This window comes from Homo sapiens, chromosome 12 (assembly GCF_000001405.40).
Source record: "Homo sapiens chromosome 12, GRCh38.p14 Primary Assembly".
NCBI lineage: Eukaryota > Metazoa > Chordata > Mammalia > Primates > Hominidae > Homo > Homo sapiens.
This window is the reverse complement of record NC_000012.12, coordinates 87,182,901-87,200,144: the sequence shown is the minus strand read 5'-3', so window position 1 is coordinate 87,200,144 and position 17,244 is coordinate 87,182,901. Positions and strand designations below refer to the sequence as shown.

General features: G+C 34.6%; 1 long non-coding RNA gene across 1 annotated transcript in view; it reads left to right on the top strand.

Annotated features, from left to right (window-relative positions):
* Positions 1-12,604: 12,604 nt before the first annotated feature.
* The window catches only part of LOC105369878 (uncharacterized), a 145,625-nt gene continuing 140,985 nt past the window's right edge, over positions 12,605-17,244 (top strand). The window contains exon 1 of the long non-coding RNA XR_001749241.1: positions 12,605-12,746. This is a non-coding gene — a long non-coding RNA (uncharacterized LOC105369878). The remainder of the gene's footprint in view (positions 12,747-17,244) is intronic.

Below are 17,244 nucleotides of genomic sequence, written 5' to 3'. Positions count from 1 at the left end.
GATCCACACCATGTGTCAGGCACTCTTCTGGAGTGGCTGTTACTCTTTCTATGGTTTATAAGATATTCACTTCACGATGCCAATGGACTCTTCCCATACATTTTATCTCTTGCTTCTCTGCTATGTGGTAACATCGTGCTCTCTTGGGTGAGAAACATTCTTTTGGCAAATTGGGCTGTTCTTTTGATTCAACTTATGGGCCTCTTTCTTATTCTCTCTGCTAGTGGTGGTAAAAAGGTGGAGTTACCACTGGAGATTATGTTCCAGGGTGAAGTGATTGCAGTCTAAAATGTTCAAGAGAATAAGATATAGTTGGAGGATGTGTTATACTATGTTTACACTACAGAATTCCCAATAACAAATTTAACATAATAATAAAATGAATTACAATTTACATTTTTTTCTGCAAAATCTGGGTAAGACTTGCATTTTTTTGTTATCATCAGCTGTCTGTCAATGGACAGTTACCACTTTGGAGAGTCATTGAAATCCATTATTACTGGCAGCATAATAAATGAAGCAGTCATAAGAAATGATACTAAATAAATCATATTAGGGAAATACTGACATATAGAAATGTATATTATTTCAATATAAACAGATTCCAAAGAGTCACATCATTGTGGACAATAGCATCATTATTACCTTTTTCTTATAATAAAGACACGAAATTAGACAGAAATGATGCACTTGTCAGTAAAGTAGGTAAAGAGATGGTTGTTCCTAGGTATTAAGGTGAAGAGATGGGGCCCAGACAGCATAAAGGACCTTCATGTGTAATAAGGCAAAAAAGCAAACGGGCAGTTATCTCTTTCCTACCAATTATTTTTCCATCATTCTAAATTCTCATTGATAAATTACTGCATGTAGCCCCATGAACTTTGAAATATTTTTTAAAATTAAATTGTATATATTGACAGGGGCCTCACAGAGTGAGTTTTATCCACTATGTATACCATACAATTCAATTGATCTACCTTTAATAATGCATTTTTTTTTGTTTATTTGTTTTTTGGTTTGGTTTGGTTTAGGTTTTGGTTTGACGATAGGCTGAAATTCTAGTAATTCAAAGTTGTATTTAATATGTTTCTAGGCATTGCAGAACATCTTTCTTCTTGAGAAGGGTCACATTGGATCTTATTACAATATCCTTCTTAGGCATCAAGGTCATTTTTATACTTACTATTGGAAGAAAGTGAACTTGGAATTGCATTAGAAATTTCTGAGTTCACTTACTTCTGCAGATCTAGAACAATGTCAACATGCACTCGGAACTCAGCAAATGTTCACTGATGATATTGTGAACAAATTTAAAAAACACTGAACATAAATAATGGAAGAATTGTGTCTTTTTTATAATATAATGTTTATGATGCCTGATTATTTTTATAATGCATTGGGTTCAATAAAATCAGAACAAGAATGTATTATTTCAGTGCAAGGATTTAGTTATATTACTTGCAGTCAATAGTATTCCTGTTCTTCTAATGTGCAGAGACTTCCTGCTGAGGGGATTCTGGCTAAGCACAAACTCTTATTTTCTTATTTGCTTGTGTTTATTTTACCATTAATGAAAGACATATTTTAAAACACATTTTTTACTCAGGCGCTGTCAAAGAGAAAGAGGGATAGAAGGAAATCAGGGGGAGGGTGTAGAGATTCTACAGGAGGCTGGTTGTCTATGCTTGCAATATGAACAGAAACCAAGAGAGGTTCTAGTGTTTGGCATTATGAATTACAGACTTTTAATTTTTCACATGCATGGGTCCTTTCAGAGGAACCATCTGGCTCAATGCTGGCTGTTGGTGCTGTGCAGAATCTCAATTGAGTATGTTGCATTTATCTGACAACCCATAGTTGCCTCTATTTTGTGTGTCAGTAACTCAAACTACAAACACTTGTAGTGGACATATGATTTACAAAGTTGATCATACTCCTATTCTCTGAAAGTATCCATGGGTAGTTAAAAGTACGCTAGGATCTCCCAAGTTTTCAAGCTTTCATTATGGAAAGCAATGAAAAATGGGTGGCTGGAATTATTCTACTGAGATCACACAAAGAAGAATCATCCATAAATAAAGATCTGGGGGCTGGGCGTGGTGGCTCACGCCTGTAATCCCAACACTTTGGGAGGCCGAGGCGGGAAGATCACGAGGTCAGGAGATCGAGACCATCCTGGCTAATACAGTGAAACCCCGTCTCTACTAAAAAATACAAGAAATTAGCTGGGCATGGTGGTGGGTGCCTGTAGTCCCAGCTACTTGGGAGGCTGAGGCAGGAGAATGGCGTGAACCCAGGAGGCAGAGCTTGCATTGGGCCCAGATCGTGCCACTGCACTCCAGCCTGGGCAACAAGGCAAGACTCCATCTCAAAAAATAATAATAAAATAAAATAAAGATCTGGGAACTGAGAAGTTGGGAGTAGGGGAAGGGGATGGGTTTTAGCCAGTCAAAAATATGACAGATATAAGACATAGAAGGCAAGTTAGTCTAATTAAACACTGTATTTAATTTTAGGATGCTTGAGTCCTACACTGCATTCTACCACTGATTGGAATATTATTTCATTTTCTAAATCTCAGTTTTCTAATACTTGAAAAGAAGGAAAAGAAAAGCAGGTAGGAAGTTTGAATTAGATGCTATCAATAATAAATTCCACTTCTAAAATGGATTCAGTTTTATGTAATCTTTTCACCTGATATTTTCCAAACCCATTTTTGTTTATCACTTAATGTCAACAAAAAGAGTGGGAGGTTCTAAGATTAAATTTATTTAGAACAAAAGCACATCAATGCAACTTTAATTAAAGGTGAGATCTTGTTTGCACATGCTAATGTGAACAAACAGTGAAAGATTTCTGCGGCCAAGCTACAAGATGTTGTTTTACATAAAGGGAAAAATTCTTTTTAAAAAATCCATCAAGGACTGTTCATTTAATCTCTGTTATTTGAAAAAGTCAAGGAATTTTGGAGCTGTCAGAAAGTTTATGATAGTGGCAAGCACTGTATTCTTGAATAGCCATTGCAAACTTTCTGAGTTTTGCTTATATTTATAGTACAATTATAGTAAATTGTATTTAGAAATATGTTGATGTAGAATGATTTTTCTTTTAGTCCTAGAACAAGCTTAGTATACAGAGACACTCAACACATATTTGTGGAATAAATGAATAAATGCATTCGAAAGGGTAAATCAACGAGTGTTTAAAATTTTGATTTAGTTATATCTTCTGGATGCAGAGTCACACAATTTTGAAAATATTTGGGTAACAGATTGATATTCAGGTTTCATCTGGATCCTTTTCAATATGTAAACTTCAGAATGATTGCTACAAAACTGTTGTTCTTTATATAACTATTTAAAAAATTCATTGAACAAATATTTAGTAAGAATATTATAGGCAATGGGGAAATGAAAACAGTAATGCTCATTTGCAGTAGAAATAGCATGAACTATGTTCAGGATCTAGTCCTTATAAATTATTCCAAGATTAAGAAGCCCATCAAGGAAATCACTGGCAAATGCTATAATTCCTTACTGAGAAGTTTGTCATTATGAACAGACAGAGCCAAGAAGCATGAGAACAGATGGTGAAATGCCAAGTATGAATAAATTCATGCCTGTCTCTAGTATCCTAAGCCTAAGGATTTGGATATGGACCAACACATACTGCTGTGGGCCCAGTGAGAAGCAAAAATTATTCAACAATCATCACAGTTAGGAATGGAATCCTGGAGAGTAATAGCAACACTTCAGCTATCTCCATTACAAATCCTTCATGGTCTCTAGAAGGCCATTTGTAATGCCGGGAGCCCGCCAATGCCCTTACTTAACATTAGCTCCAACTTCTGAAGAAGCCACTTCTAGGGCCGTTCAGAATCTGTGCTTTTCTTTTTTCTTTTTTCTTTTCATAATTTTCTACTCATCTCTCCCCATACATTATTTTGGGGATTAAATTAGTTAAATACAATTACTTTGAAAGATATATTAATAAAAGGCTAGTCAAGAGTTATTTATATATGCTACTTTTATTATCATAAGTTCATTAATTAAATCCAATTTTTGTATCTGAGGAGATGTCTCAAAAATTACTGAAGTTTTTAAAAAAAAATTGGTAAGAGTGATGATGTTTACACAAATGTTATTTTCTCTTTCTTTAAAAGAAACATTGGTTTAGGTAAAAATTCCAAATATTTTCTAGAATAAAACTGGAAATGTAATATTTCACCAGACAGCTTGTATTTTAAGTTGATTATGTTTGGTAAATTTTATCTATATTATGTGAAATAAGCCAGAATTTTGATTCATGGGATTCTGAAATAGATAAACTGCATAAGAATCACTTAATTTAAGATGAAACATAGTAACATAAGCTTAAATCACCAAATGCGGTAAACAATGATTATATAATGAGGGTTCACCTCATGGAAACTAGACCCATCAATGCAAAGTATATAAATTTAAAATAATTTTCCAAATTGGACCAATAATCCAATATTGAAATTGAGTGCTGCTGTGTAAACAGGACAATAATAATTTATCCAGGTAGTTTCATCTAAAGAAACAGAAAACTTAGGGTTAGGGATTTCCCATTAACTACTGAATTTAATAATTTTTAGCCAGTTAACAAATGACCCATATCTAGGGATAGCTTCAAATATGGCTTCAAAACATTTGCATATGTCTGACTATATACAGAAAAGAAACTATGGTATATAACTTTTTATTTTTTTTTTATTTTTTTTTATGTTGTTAAATTTTTTATTTTAAAATATTTAACAAAGATTGAATATATTCAAGGTGTACAATGTGATGATTTGATATACGTAGACATTGTATAATGATAACCACAATTGAATTAATTAATACATCAATTACCATCCATGCTGTCCATTAGATTTTCAGCACTTGGTCATCTTATAACTAAGGTTGAACCCTTTGACCCTGTCTCCCTGTTTTCTCCAGCCCCAACCCCCTGGCAACTGCTATTCTACTCTCTGCCTCAATGAGTTCAACTTTTTTAGGTTCCACAAATGCATGAGATCATACAGTATTTTTCCTTCCATATCTGGCTTATTTCACTTAGCACAGTGACCTCCGGGTTCATCCATGTTGCTGCAAACAAGTTTCTCTGTTTTCAATGAAAAAGTTTCAAAAAGGTAAACATCATAATGGAACTCCACATCTGGTCACATAAATCCATAACCACAGTTTTTTCTGCCCTGTGAATTTTTCATTTTACAGTAAGGACAAAACATACAAGTACAAAGCCCACAATACTTTAAAATCACTTCTGAGTTGGTCAATATACATAATTGTAAGTATATAGTTATTAGTAATCAATCCTAATTAGTGTTTCTGTGTTTTGCTCTGTCTATTTAATATGATTTAATATTTAAGTGCTCATGTGTCAGCATAGTCAACATGTGTAACTTGTTGACAGTGTGGCAATCACTGCTATGTGTTCACCAAACAATTCCCCTTCCACCCTGGGCTTATAGCAAGACTACATTTCCCAGCCTCCCTTGTAGTTAGATGTGGCCATGTGACTGGGTTCTGACTCCTAGAATGTGGGTAGAAGTAATGTTGCCTCCAGACCTCTCAATCTGGCTCATGAAACTTCCCTTGCAATCCTCTGTTCTCACTCTCTTCCCTCATGGATCTATCAGATACAGGGAGGAAATGGTGGAGCCACTAAACACAGAAGCCTAGGTCCCTGAGTGATGGCATACAGAAACCTCTCTCCCCAACAGACCCACATTGAGTTGCAATGTGTGTAAGAAATAAACTTTTTTTTTTTTTTAATGTTTTTTTTTTTTTTTTAATTGTACTTTAAGTTTTAGGGTACATGTGCACATTGTGCAGGTTAGTTACATATGTATACATGTGCCATGCTGGTGCACTGCACCCACTAACGTGTCATCTAGCATTAGGTATATCTCCCAATGCTATCCCTCCCCCCTCCCCCGACCCCACCACAGTCCCCAGAGTGTGATATTCCCCTTCCTGTGTCCATGTGATCTCATTGTTCAATTCCCACCTATGAGTGAGAATATGCGGTGTTTGGTTTTTTGTTCTTGCGATAGTTTACTGAGAATGATGGTTTCCAATTTCATCCATGTCCCTACAAAGGACATGAACTCATCATTTTTTATGGCTGCATAGTATTCCATGGTGTATATGTGCCACATTTTCTTAATCCAGTCTATCATTATTGGACATTTGGGTTGGTTCCAAGTCTTTGCTATTGTGAATAATGCCGCAATAAACATACGTGTGCATGTGTCTTTATAGCAGCATGATTTATAGTCATTTGGGTATATACCCAGTAATGGGATGGCTGGGTCAAATGGTATTTCTAGTTCTAGATCCCTGAGGAATCGCCACACTGACTTCCACAATGGTTGAACTAGTTTACAGTCCCACCAACAGTGTAAAAGTGTTCCTATTTCTCCACATCCTCTCCAGCACCTGTTGTTTCCTGACTTTTTAATGATTGCCATTCTAACTGGTGTGAGATGATATCTCATAGTGGTTTTGATTTGCATTTCTCTGATGGCCAGTGATGATGAGCATTTTTTCATGTGTTTTTTGGCTGCATGAATGTCTTCTTTTGAGAAGTGTCTGTTCATGTCCTTCGCCCACTTTTTGATGGGGTTGTTTGTTTTTTTCTTGTAAATTTGTTTGAGTTCATTGTAGATTCTGGATGTTAGCCCTTTGTCAGATGAGTAGGTTGCGAAAATTTTCTCCCATGTTGTAGGTTGCCTGTTCACTCTGATGGTAGTTTCTTTTGCTGTGCAGAAGCTCTTTAGTTTAATTAGATCCCATTTGTCAATTTTGGCTTTTGTTGCCATTGCTTTTGGTCTTTTGGACATGAAGTCCTTGCCCACGCCTATGTCCTGAATGGTAATGCCTAGGTTTTCTTCTAGGGTTTTTATGGTTTTAGGTCTAACGTTTAAATCTTTAATCCATCTTGAATTGATTTTTGTATAAGGTGTAAGGAAGGGATCCAGTTTCAGCTTTCTACATATGGCTAGCCAGTTTTCCCAGCACCATTTATTAAATAGGGAATCCTTTCCCCATTGCTTGTTTTTCTCAGGTTTGTCAAAGATCAGATAGTTGTAGATATGCGGCGTTATTTCTGAGGGCTCTGTTCTGTTCCATTGATCTATATCTCTGTTTTGGTACCAGTACCATGCTGTTTTGGTTACTGTAGCCTTGTAGTATAGTTTGAAGTCAGGTAGTGTGATGCCTCCAGCTTTGTTCTTTTGGCTTAGGATTGACTTGGCGATGCGGGCTCTTTTTTGGTTCCATATGAACTTTAAAGTAGTTTTTTCCAATTCTGTGAAGAAAGTCATTGGTAGCTTGATGGGGATGGCATTGAATCTATAAATTACCTTGGGCAGTATGGCCATTTTCACGATATTGATTCTTCCTACCCATGAGCATGGAATGTTCTTCTATTTGTTTGTGTCCTCTTTTATTTCCTTGAGCAGTGGTTTGTAGTTCTCCTTGAAGAGGTCCTTCACATCCCTTGTAAGTTGGGTTCCTAGGTATTTTATTCTCTTTGAAGCAATTGTGAATGGGAGTTCACTCATGATTTGGCTCTCTGTTTGTCTGTTATTGGTGTATAAGAATGCTTGTGATTTTTGTACATTGATTTTGTATCCTGAGACTTTGCTGAAGTTGCTTATCAGCTTAAGGAGATTTTGGGCTGAGACAATGGGGTTTTCTAGATAAACAATCATGTCGTCTGCAAACAGGGACAATTTGACTTCCTCTTTTCCTAATTGAATTCCCTTTATTTCCTTCTCCTGCCTGATTGCCCTGGCCAGAACTTCCAACACTATGTTGAATAGGAGTGGTGAGAGAGGGCATCCCTGTCTTGTGCCAGTTTTCAAAGGGAATGCTTCCAGTTTTTGCCCATTCAGTATGATATTGGCTGTGGGTTTGTCATAGATAGCTCTTATTATTTTGAAATACGTCCCATCAATACCTAATTGATTGAGAGTTTTTAGCATGAAGGGTTGTTGAATTTTGTCAAAGGCTTTTTCTGCATCTATTGAGATAATCATGTGGTTTTTGTCTTTGGCTCTGTTTATATGCTGGATTACATTTATTGATTTGCATATATTGAACCAGCCTTGCATCCCAGGGATGAAGCCCACTTGATCATGGTGGATAAGCTTTTTGATGTGCTGCTGGATTCGGTTTGCCAGTATTTTATTGAGGATTTTTGCATCAATGTTCATCAAGGATATTGGTCTAAAATTCTCTTTTTTGGTTGTGTCTCTGCCCGGCTTTGGTATCAGAATGATGCTGGCCTCATAAAATGAGTTAGGGAGGATTCCCTCTTTTTCTATTGATGGTATATAACTTTTTAATATTATAGAAAACATAAAAGAAACTTTATCAATAAATTGAATAAAAACACTTTCATTTTTGTATAATTTATTACGGTATTTCTTAATTTATTCTTTATAATCTTATATTCAAAATTAATATTAAAGGCTTATTTTGGAGTAATTTAACGATATTAATTTTACCTTATTAAATGCAAAGCCAAATTTTATAATATTGAAAAAAAATATGGATTTCCATTAATTTTTGTAAGCAGTTTGTATTAAACTACACTGCTACACAGTCAATTTGTTATACAGTGGCACATTCATGTAACAACACTTTTATAAAATATTCACGCATACCAGGCACTGTGCTGGGCATTCCCAAAGGTAAGATATTGCCCTCAAGGAGCTAATAGCCTAACTGGGTTCAATAATGTAGCATGAAACATATAAAGCTAAACAAAGGAATTGTGGAATACACAAGTAGGGCAATTAATGGTCAATGGTATCTCAAGCCACCATTTAATTAATTAAGTAGTAAACTGATCCATCAGTTTACAATATCAATTAAAAATGAAGTTTGTTTAAGAGTTCTCAGTAGAAATGCTTATGACTTTAATACACAAATGATTATTGTTCCCATCAGTGGTATTTGTCCTCTGCATATTTGTATTAACGTTAAACTTCTTTAATTGATTTTTTTAACAAGATTGGAAATCTTTTCCTTAGGAGATGCTAAGAAATTATTATTAAGTGATCTCAACCCTTTTAAAGAAACAAGAATGGGTATTGCTGAGTTTCATAATACTTTGTCTTTTTTTCCCAAAATTTTCTTATTTCTGGGAAGAAAAATAATCAGAAAAATACAATATTTGTCCACAGCCAAAGACAATATTGAGCCAGATGGAATTAATACAGATACATATGGCATATGATACAGTCAAAATTTGTACTAGCTCCTTAACAATCAGAAGACTGGGAACAATGACATATAATAATTTTCTTCAACTTACAAAACATAGAAAATAAGAAAATTATTTTTATTAATGTTGTTCTTTCTTGTTCAATATGGTTCCTCCAAGTAGAAATAAGACTTTTCTTCCTTCTTTGGATTATTTAGACATTTAATCATAAATCCTTGCATGTATATGTGTATGTCTATGTATTTGTACATGTGATGTATATAATACATATGTACTATAACATATATTATACATAACACATAATGTACATTACCCGCATACACACACAGATAGGGCTTGGCATGTGTATGTCAGACATTGGTACATTATTGACAATATATCACAATTCTAATTCACTTGAATGTTAAGATACTTTATCATTAGTAAAGTATTCAAATTTGTTTATTTAATCATTCAATCATCCAAATTACATTGACCATCAGATTAGTGCCAGAATTAAGTTAGATATGGTACAAAGATGAATAAGAACTAGGCTGGGTCTTCTAAGACCTTAACCTGTTTTTATAACAACAAACAAGGACATTATAGTGTAATGTTTTTACAGAGGTTAAAGCATAACTGCCTGCACATTTTGGAGAAGGCTTTGCAGATATTTATCTGCTTAATTTCTTAAATCTTGACATATTTTATATATGTATGAAAAATGCATTCAGACTTAGCAAACTTGATAGGATTAACTCAGATCCTTTGTTTTTATTTTTATTGTATTTACTTTATTTTGAGACAAGGTTTTGCTCCCATCTCCCAGGCTGGAGTGCAGTGGCGCGCTCTCTGCTCACTACAACCTATGCCTCCTGGGCTGAAGGTATTCCTTCTGCCTCAGCATACGGAATAACTGTGACTACAACCACATGCCACTACGCTCAGCTAATTTTTGTATTTTTAATAGAGATGGGGTTTCACCATCTTGGCCAGGCTCGTCTCGAACTCCGGAACTCAAGTTATCTGCCCACTTTGGCTTTCCAAAGTCCTGGGATAACCGGCCTGAGCCACCACACCCAGCTCAAATCCTTCGTTTTAAAGGAAAATTATTTAACAACAGAGCTTTCAGCCCCCTTAGTGGTCTTCTTGATTCTATTCCCCCCACTTTCTCCATACAGGTACCTACTCTCCCAGGGTTGTGGGCAATATTTCCCAACAGATTTTAATATTTTAGCTGTGTGTGTACATATGTGTATACACATATACAATATATTTTGAAATATTAATCAGTGCTCTCATAATTCACATTTCCTGCAAGTTGCTTTTCATTTAACATTTTATATATATATATGTATATATATACACACTATATATATACACACACACATCAATATATTTACATGTTAATACATGTAGACTATGTTCATTAAATTGCTGAATCAAAATATGATGTATACCCTATTTTTTAATCTTCATGTCTAATAATTAAGACTTAAAATACCCCATCCGTATTACTGAAAATAATGATCAAATGAACATCATTTTGCATGTGTCATTATGCACATATTTAAGCTTTTTTTTTTTTTTTTTTTTTTTTTTTGAGACGTAGTTTCGCTCCTTTTGCCCAGGCTGGAGCACAGTGGTGCGATCTCGGCTCACTGCAACCTACACCTCCCAGGTTCAAGTGATTCTCCTGCCTCAGCCTCCCGAGTAACTGGGATTACAGGCATGCACCACCACACCTGGTTAATTTTGTATTTTTTAGTAGAGACAGGGTTTCTCCATGTTGGCCAGGCTGGTCTTGAACTCACGACCTCAGGTGATCCACCCTCCTCAGCCTCCCGAAGTACTGGGATTACAGGCATGAGCCACCGCGCCCAGCCCATATTTAAGCTTTTTTTCCTAAAATGCATATTTAGAAGTGGCATGGCTATATCACGTGAAACGCATCATGAGCTATTTCAGATATTGTGAAACCGTATTTCAGTTTGAGAGTTCATTCAGCATTGCCCATACTTTTGATTCTTCCCTCAACTTTTAATGATGCCAATCAGATAGGTTTGAAATAAAATGGCATTGTTTTAACTTGCATTTTGCTCTTTGGTAATGTGGTTGAGCAAACGTTCTTATGTTTGTTGCCAATCAGATTTTCTTTTCCGTGAATTATCTGTGCATATGTTTTGAACAACTTATTTTTTCTTTTTGTTTTCAGCTACAACTCAAATGTTAATCCATTGTGACATATGTACATATATATAGTCATTCATAAAATAAAAATAACTATTTTTACACTTCGGTTATAGTTTTCTTAGCCATATCAAAGTTGAGATATTTTAAATGTCTGTCATATGTATCAATCCATTTTTAAAGGTTTCTGAATTTCTGTGATTTTAAAATATTTTTCTCTCATAATGTCATGAAAATATTTTCTTCTAAATTTTTGACGGTTTTTTTTACATATAATTATTAATCTAACCTGAATAATTTGTGTATCAGGTATGTGAATATGTGTGGGTGTTGTGTACAGTGAGAAGGAATTATCTATTTTGTTCTGATTTTTTTCCAACTAAATTGTCCAAGAATAGTTATAAAATTAATTTACATGTTATTCTTCTCATTTGAAATGCTCATTATATTATGTATCAAATCCCATATGTGCATAAGTCTGGTTTGAAAAACCCTAATATTGTCCCTTCCATCTACATTTATTTTTGAATTCCACTGCAAATACCATACTACTTTAGTTATTATGGATTTTAAATATTATTTTCAATTATCTCTTTTTAACTAAAAAATTATTTTTACTTTCCATGAATATTTTCCTTCTTATAAATGTTCCTCTTTTTAATTCTAAGTATTATCTTGATATTCTTATTGGAACTGATTGGTTGAGTATTCATTAAGAATCAATTGACTCGTAATATTTAGTCTTTATATTCATTAATTTGCATTTATTTGGGTTTTTCTTTAACATCCTTCAATAAAGTTTAAATTTTATTTTAAAGCCTTGCATATATTGTCTTAGAGTTACTGCTAGCTACTTATGATGAATGGGACAGTTTGATTTAAAATCATTATTTCCCATGGGTCACAGCTAGCTTGAAGGAATAATGTTTTGTTGTGTTTTTCTCTATTTTATTATAATTTATATTTTTAAATTTATTATTATTATTATTAATTGTTTTGTTTCTTTTTTCCAAATCTTTCATTTTTATAAATTCTATTTGCTAAGGCCTATATTTAAATATAGAATAGCACTTGTGGGGATGGACATCTTCCTTTCTATAATTTTTATAGAAACACCTGATTTTCTCTTGGATTCCCTTTCTCCATGCTAGTGCTGGAAATTCTTTTCAGACAGTAAGCAAGAACTCCCCTAGGGCTCACTGTACCTATTTTCTTTCTTTCAGGAATCACTTTCTCACACTGTTTTGTCCAATGTTTGGAAAACACTGTTTCATGTATTTGGTCTGGCTTCTCATTTCTAGAGTGGAAAGGTAAGTTTGTTTTTTGTTATTCCATCATGGCCTGAAGTCGATGTTCTATTTCAATCTTTAAAGTAGTATATTTCTACTTCTTGCTTTCTTGGGCTGGGTAGAAGCTTCACTTTAATTTTAAAGAGAACCTGTTATTTGGTGTACCCTTGTCAAGTTTTCCATCCTAAAACAAGATGTTTAATGTTAGAAGCAGAAAATGTTTGCTGGAGACTTATAGCAGATGCCATTTATGAAATTAGAATGGAAACTTTTATTATAGCTGGTTGAAAGCTTTTATAATTAGTGATTTAAATTTTATCATATCAGGGTGTTTGACAACTATGATTTTGTTTTTTAATCTGGTAGTAAGCTGAACAACATTTGTTTTCTAATTTTGAACAATAAACATCTCTAACCCTAAAGTAAATATTTATACCTAAAATAATTTTCAATAAGGAATTATTTACTTAATTATTTCTGAGTATATTTTGCTGGTGTTTTGCTTAGGATATTGACATTTACATTTGTGAGTGTGAAATTTGCCTGTTTAGTATCATTATGGTCAGGTTCAAGATTTGTCATTTTTAGCAATTTTTTAAAGAATCAAATTTAATTCTTTTCTGTCAAATGTGTATGTTATGGTTAATGAACTTTTGTTTTTTACTTAAATTCTTTGTAGTATCTGTGAATTTATTCTATTTTTCTGCTAACTCCTTAAGATTTGGGGGTATATCTAATTTAAGACTTAGAGTTTCTTTTTAAAAATATAAGCATTTAAAATCATACATTTCCTGTATTGCAGTTGCATTGCATAAGTGACTTGTAGTACAGTAACTATCATTCAGCTGTCTATTCTATTGACATCATGTTTTTTCAACTTAACACTATTTAAATATTTGATTTAAATTTTTGGAGTTGGAGGCCATTATCTTTAGCAAACTAACACAGGAACAGAAAACCAAACATCACATGTTCTCACTTATAAGTGGGGGCTAAATAATAAGAACACATGGACACATAGAGGGGAACAGCACACAATGGGTCCTTTTAAAGGGTGGAGGGTGGGAGGAGTGAGAGAATCAGGAGAACAACTAATGGGTAGTAGGCTTAATACTTGGCTGATAAAATAAACTGTACAGCAAACGTCCATGACACAAGTTTACCTACATAACAAACCTGCACTTGGTTCCCTGAACTTAAAATAATAGTTTAAAAAATTTAAATACATGTCATTTTATGTTGTTTTTCTTGTTTGTTATTTGGAAGATATTGAGATGTGCTTCATTGTGATTTTTACAAGCACTGTATATATGCTAAAAAAGAATGAATTTTCAGAGCTGGTTGCAGCATCCTATAGATATCTGTTCACACAAGTTTACAAAAGCTTGTTATTTAAACAGTTCAAATCTCTATTTTCACTTACATCAAAAATACACAAATATACATAGCATATGTGTAGTGTGTGTATTCAGAGATAATTATGTATATGATATATACATATAGACATATGTCTTTTAAATCATTAAATAATTATATTTATGTATTTCCATATATTTGTTCATGTGAATATACATATTCTCATATACATCTGTTGATCCTTTAAACGTTCATACATGTGTTTTGATATCTCTGACTTTGTTTCTGACAGAATTATTTTTGACAAATCGGGTGTCCTTTGTTAGAAAAAGATGAAAACAAGAATTTCTGCAGGATTTTATTTATTTCCTTATGTATTTATTCATTATTTCTCATTGCAAGTAACTGAAAGTCTGCATTGGCGTGAGTGATGAGGAATTGCCCTGAATGATGACGAAGACTGCACATGAACCAGTTTTGGCAGAAAGGTGGTGTAGGTCTTGACGTCATCAATTCAGAGTAGATTTGTACATTTTAAACTTGGAAAATAAACTAAAATCCCAAGTGGAAATGTCGAATAGGCAATTAGATATATAAGTCTGAATTTTGATAGAGAAATAAGTGTTTCTGTGTTTTTCAGAGTAAGATTTATTTCAGAAAGATGAGACTTTCCTCACTGTCATGTTGAAAATTACACTCTCAGTTCCCCAGCAAATTTTATTGCCCTTTACTATCTAACTTTCTTCTTATAAAACTCATCACATTTTAATATACTACTTATTTACTTTAAAATTTTGTTTCACAACCTTCCCTGATAGAATAAAATCTCTAAGACATTTATCTTTTTTTAAACTATTTTAAATAAGTGCCTAGAATATTGCCTGGCACATATTAGGTGTCCAATAAATGCTTGTTATTTGAATACAGGAATTATGCTTTCTTTTTGTTTCTGGCCTATCATAGTTTCTTCCATGATTACTTCCTTTAAACCATGCTTGCAAAAGAAATCTTTCCTTCTCAAATTTATAATTGTCTGTGTAATAAAGTATTACTCTGTGAATGTAATTTTCCATATTGTCCTACTTGATTTTTCCTTTGTTTTACAATTCATTATTTGATTACTTTATTATTTCATTTTTTTTATTTTGTTGATTTGAATTGTGTCTTAGTAATTTTCAGTTTTTCTAGTACTGAAACTTCTTTTTACAAGCTGTGTATTTGCCTCTAAATACTGCTTAGCTATATTTCACAAGATTGAAGTAAATTACTTCCATATCTTTCAGTTCAAAGCATGTCATAATTTCTCTGATTATTTCTTGTTTTCTTCAGTGAACTATTTTGAAGTGTATATTTGTTGATTTCAAATATTGATCACTTTTACATCTATTACAAGTTCGAAGGTATTATTTTAGAGAACACAGTAGATCATAGTTATAACATATGTATATGGTGTTTTTACCTAACAAATCATAAGGGCATACAGTCTATTTGATTTTTATTGGAGCATTATGCAATAGGTAAGGCAGGTAAAATTAATTTATTATTAAGGAACCTGGGATTCAGAAAGATAAAGGAAGTAGTATACATCTGAGTCAACTAAGACTTGAACTCAGTTATTATTATTACTTTTAACTGGGATCATTCTTTATTTCATGTATTAACAATGTGGCTCAAGTAGAATTGGCCCTTGTACAAGGAGGGAGTTAGGAGAACCAACCCTGGAAGAGTTGAAAATCTAAGTATAATTTTGACTCCCCCAAAATATAATTACTAAAAGTCTACTGTTGACTGGAAACGTTACTGATAACATAATTAATACAGTATTTTGTATGTTGTATGTATGCATGTATTAGTCCGTTTTCACACTGCTGATAAAGACATACCTGAGACTGGGCAATTTACAAAAGAAAGAGGTTTAATTGGACTTACTCTTCCACGTGGCTAGGGAAGGTCTCACAATCATGGCATAGGGCAAAAGGCACTTCTTACATGGCAGCAGCAAGAGAGAATGAGGAGGAAGCAAAAGCAGAAACCCCTGATAAACTCATCATATCTCATGAGGCTTATTCACTATCAAGAGAATAGCACGGGAAAGACCAGCCTCCATGATTTAATTCTAACCCATAGGGTCCCTCCCACAGCAATTGGGAATTCTGGGAAGTACAATTCATTTTGAGATTTGGGTGGGGGCACAGCCAAACCATATAATTTCATCCCTGGCCCCTCCCAAATCTCATGTCATCACATTTCAAAACCAATCATGCCTTCCCAACTGTCTTCCAAAGTTTTAACTTACTTTAGCATTAACTCAAAAGTCCGCAGTCCAAAGTCCCTTCTGCCTATGAGACTGTAAAATGAAAAGCAAGGTATTTACTTCCTAGATACAATGGGAGTAGAGGCGTTGGATAAATACAGCTGTTCTAAATGGGAGAAATTAGCCAAAACAAATGGGCCAGGGCCCCATGCAAGTCCAAAATTCAGTGGGGCAGTCAAATCTTAAAGCTCCGGAATGATCTCCTTTGACTCCATGTCTCACATCCAGGTCATGCTGATGCAAAAGGTGGGTTCCCATGGTCTTGGGCAGCTCCACGTTTATGGCTTTGCAGGGTACAGCCTCCCTCCTGGCTGTTGTCCTGGGCTGGTGTTGAGTGTCTGCACCTTTTTCAGGCACACAGGGCAAGCTGTCTGTGGATCTACCATTCCGGAGTCTGGAGGACGATGGCCCTCTTCTCACAGCTCCACTAGGCAGTACTCCAGTAGGAACTGTGTGTGGGGTCTCTGACCCTACATTTCCCTTTGGCACTGCTCTAGTAGAGGTTCTCCATAAGGGCCCTGCCCCTGCAGCAAACTTTTGCCTGGTCATCCCGGTGTTTCCATATATCTTCTGAAATCTAGGCGGAGGTTGCCAAACCTCAATTCTTGACTTCTGTGTACCCGTGTGATCAATACCATGTGGGAGCTGCCAAAGCTTGGGACTTGCACCCTCTCAAGCCATGGCCTGAGCTGTACCTTGGCCCCTTGTAGTCACGGCTGGAGCAGCTGGGATGCAGGCTACTGAGTCCCTAGGCTGCACACAGCACAGGATCCTGGGCCTGGCCCACAAAACCATTTTTTCCCTCCTACATCTCCAGGCCTGTGATGAGTAGGGCTGCCTTGAAGACCT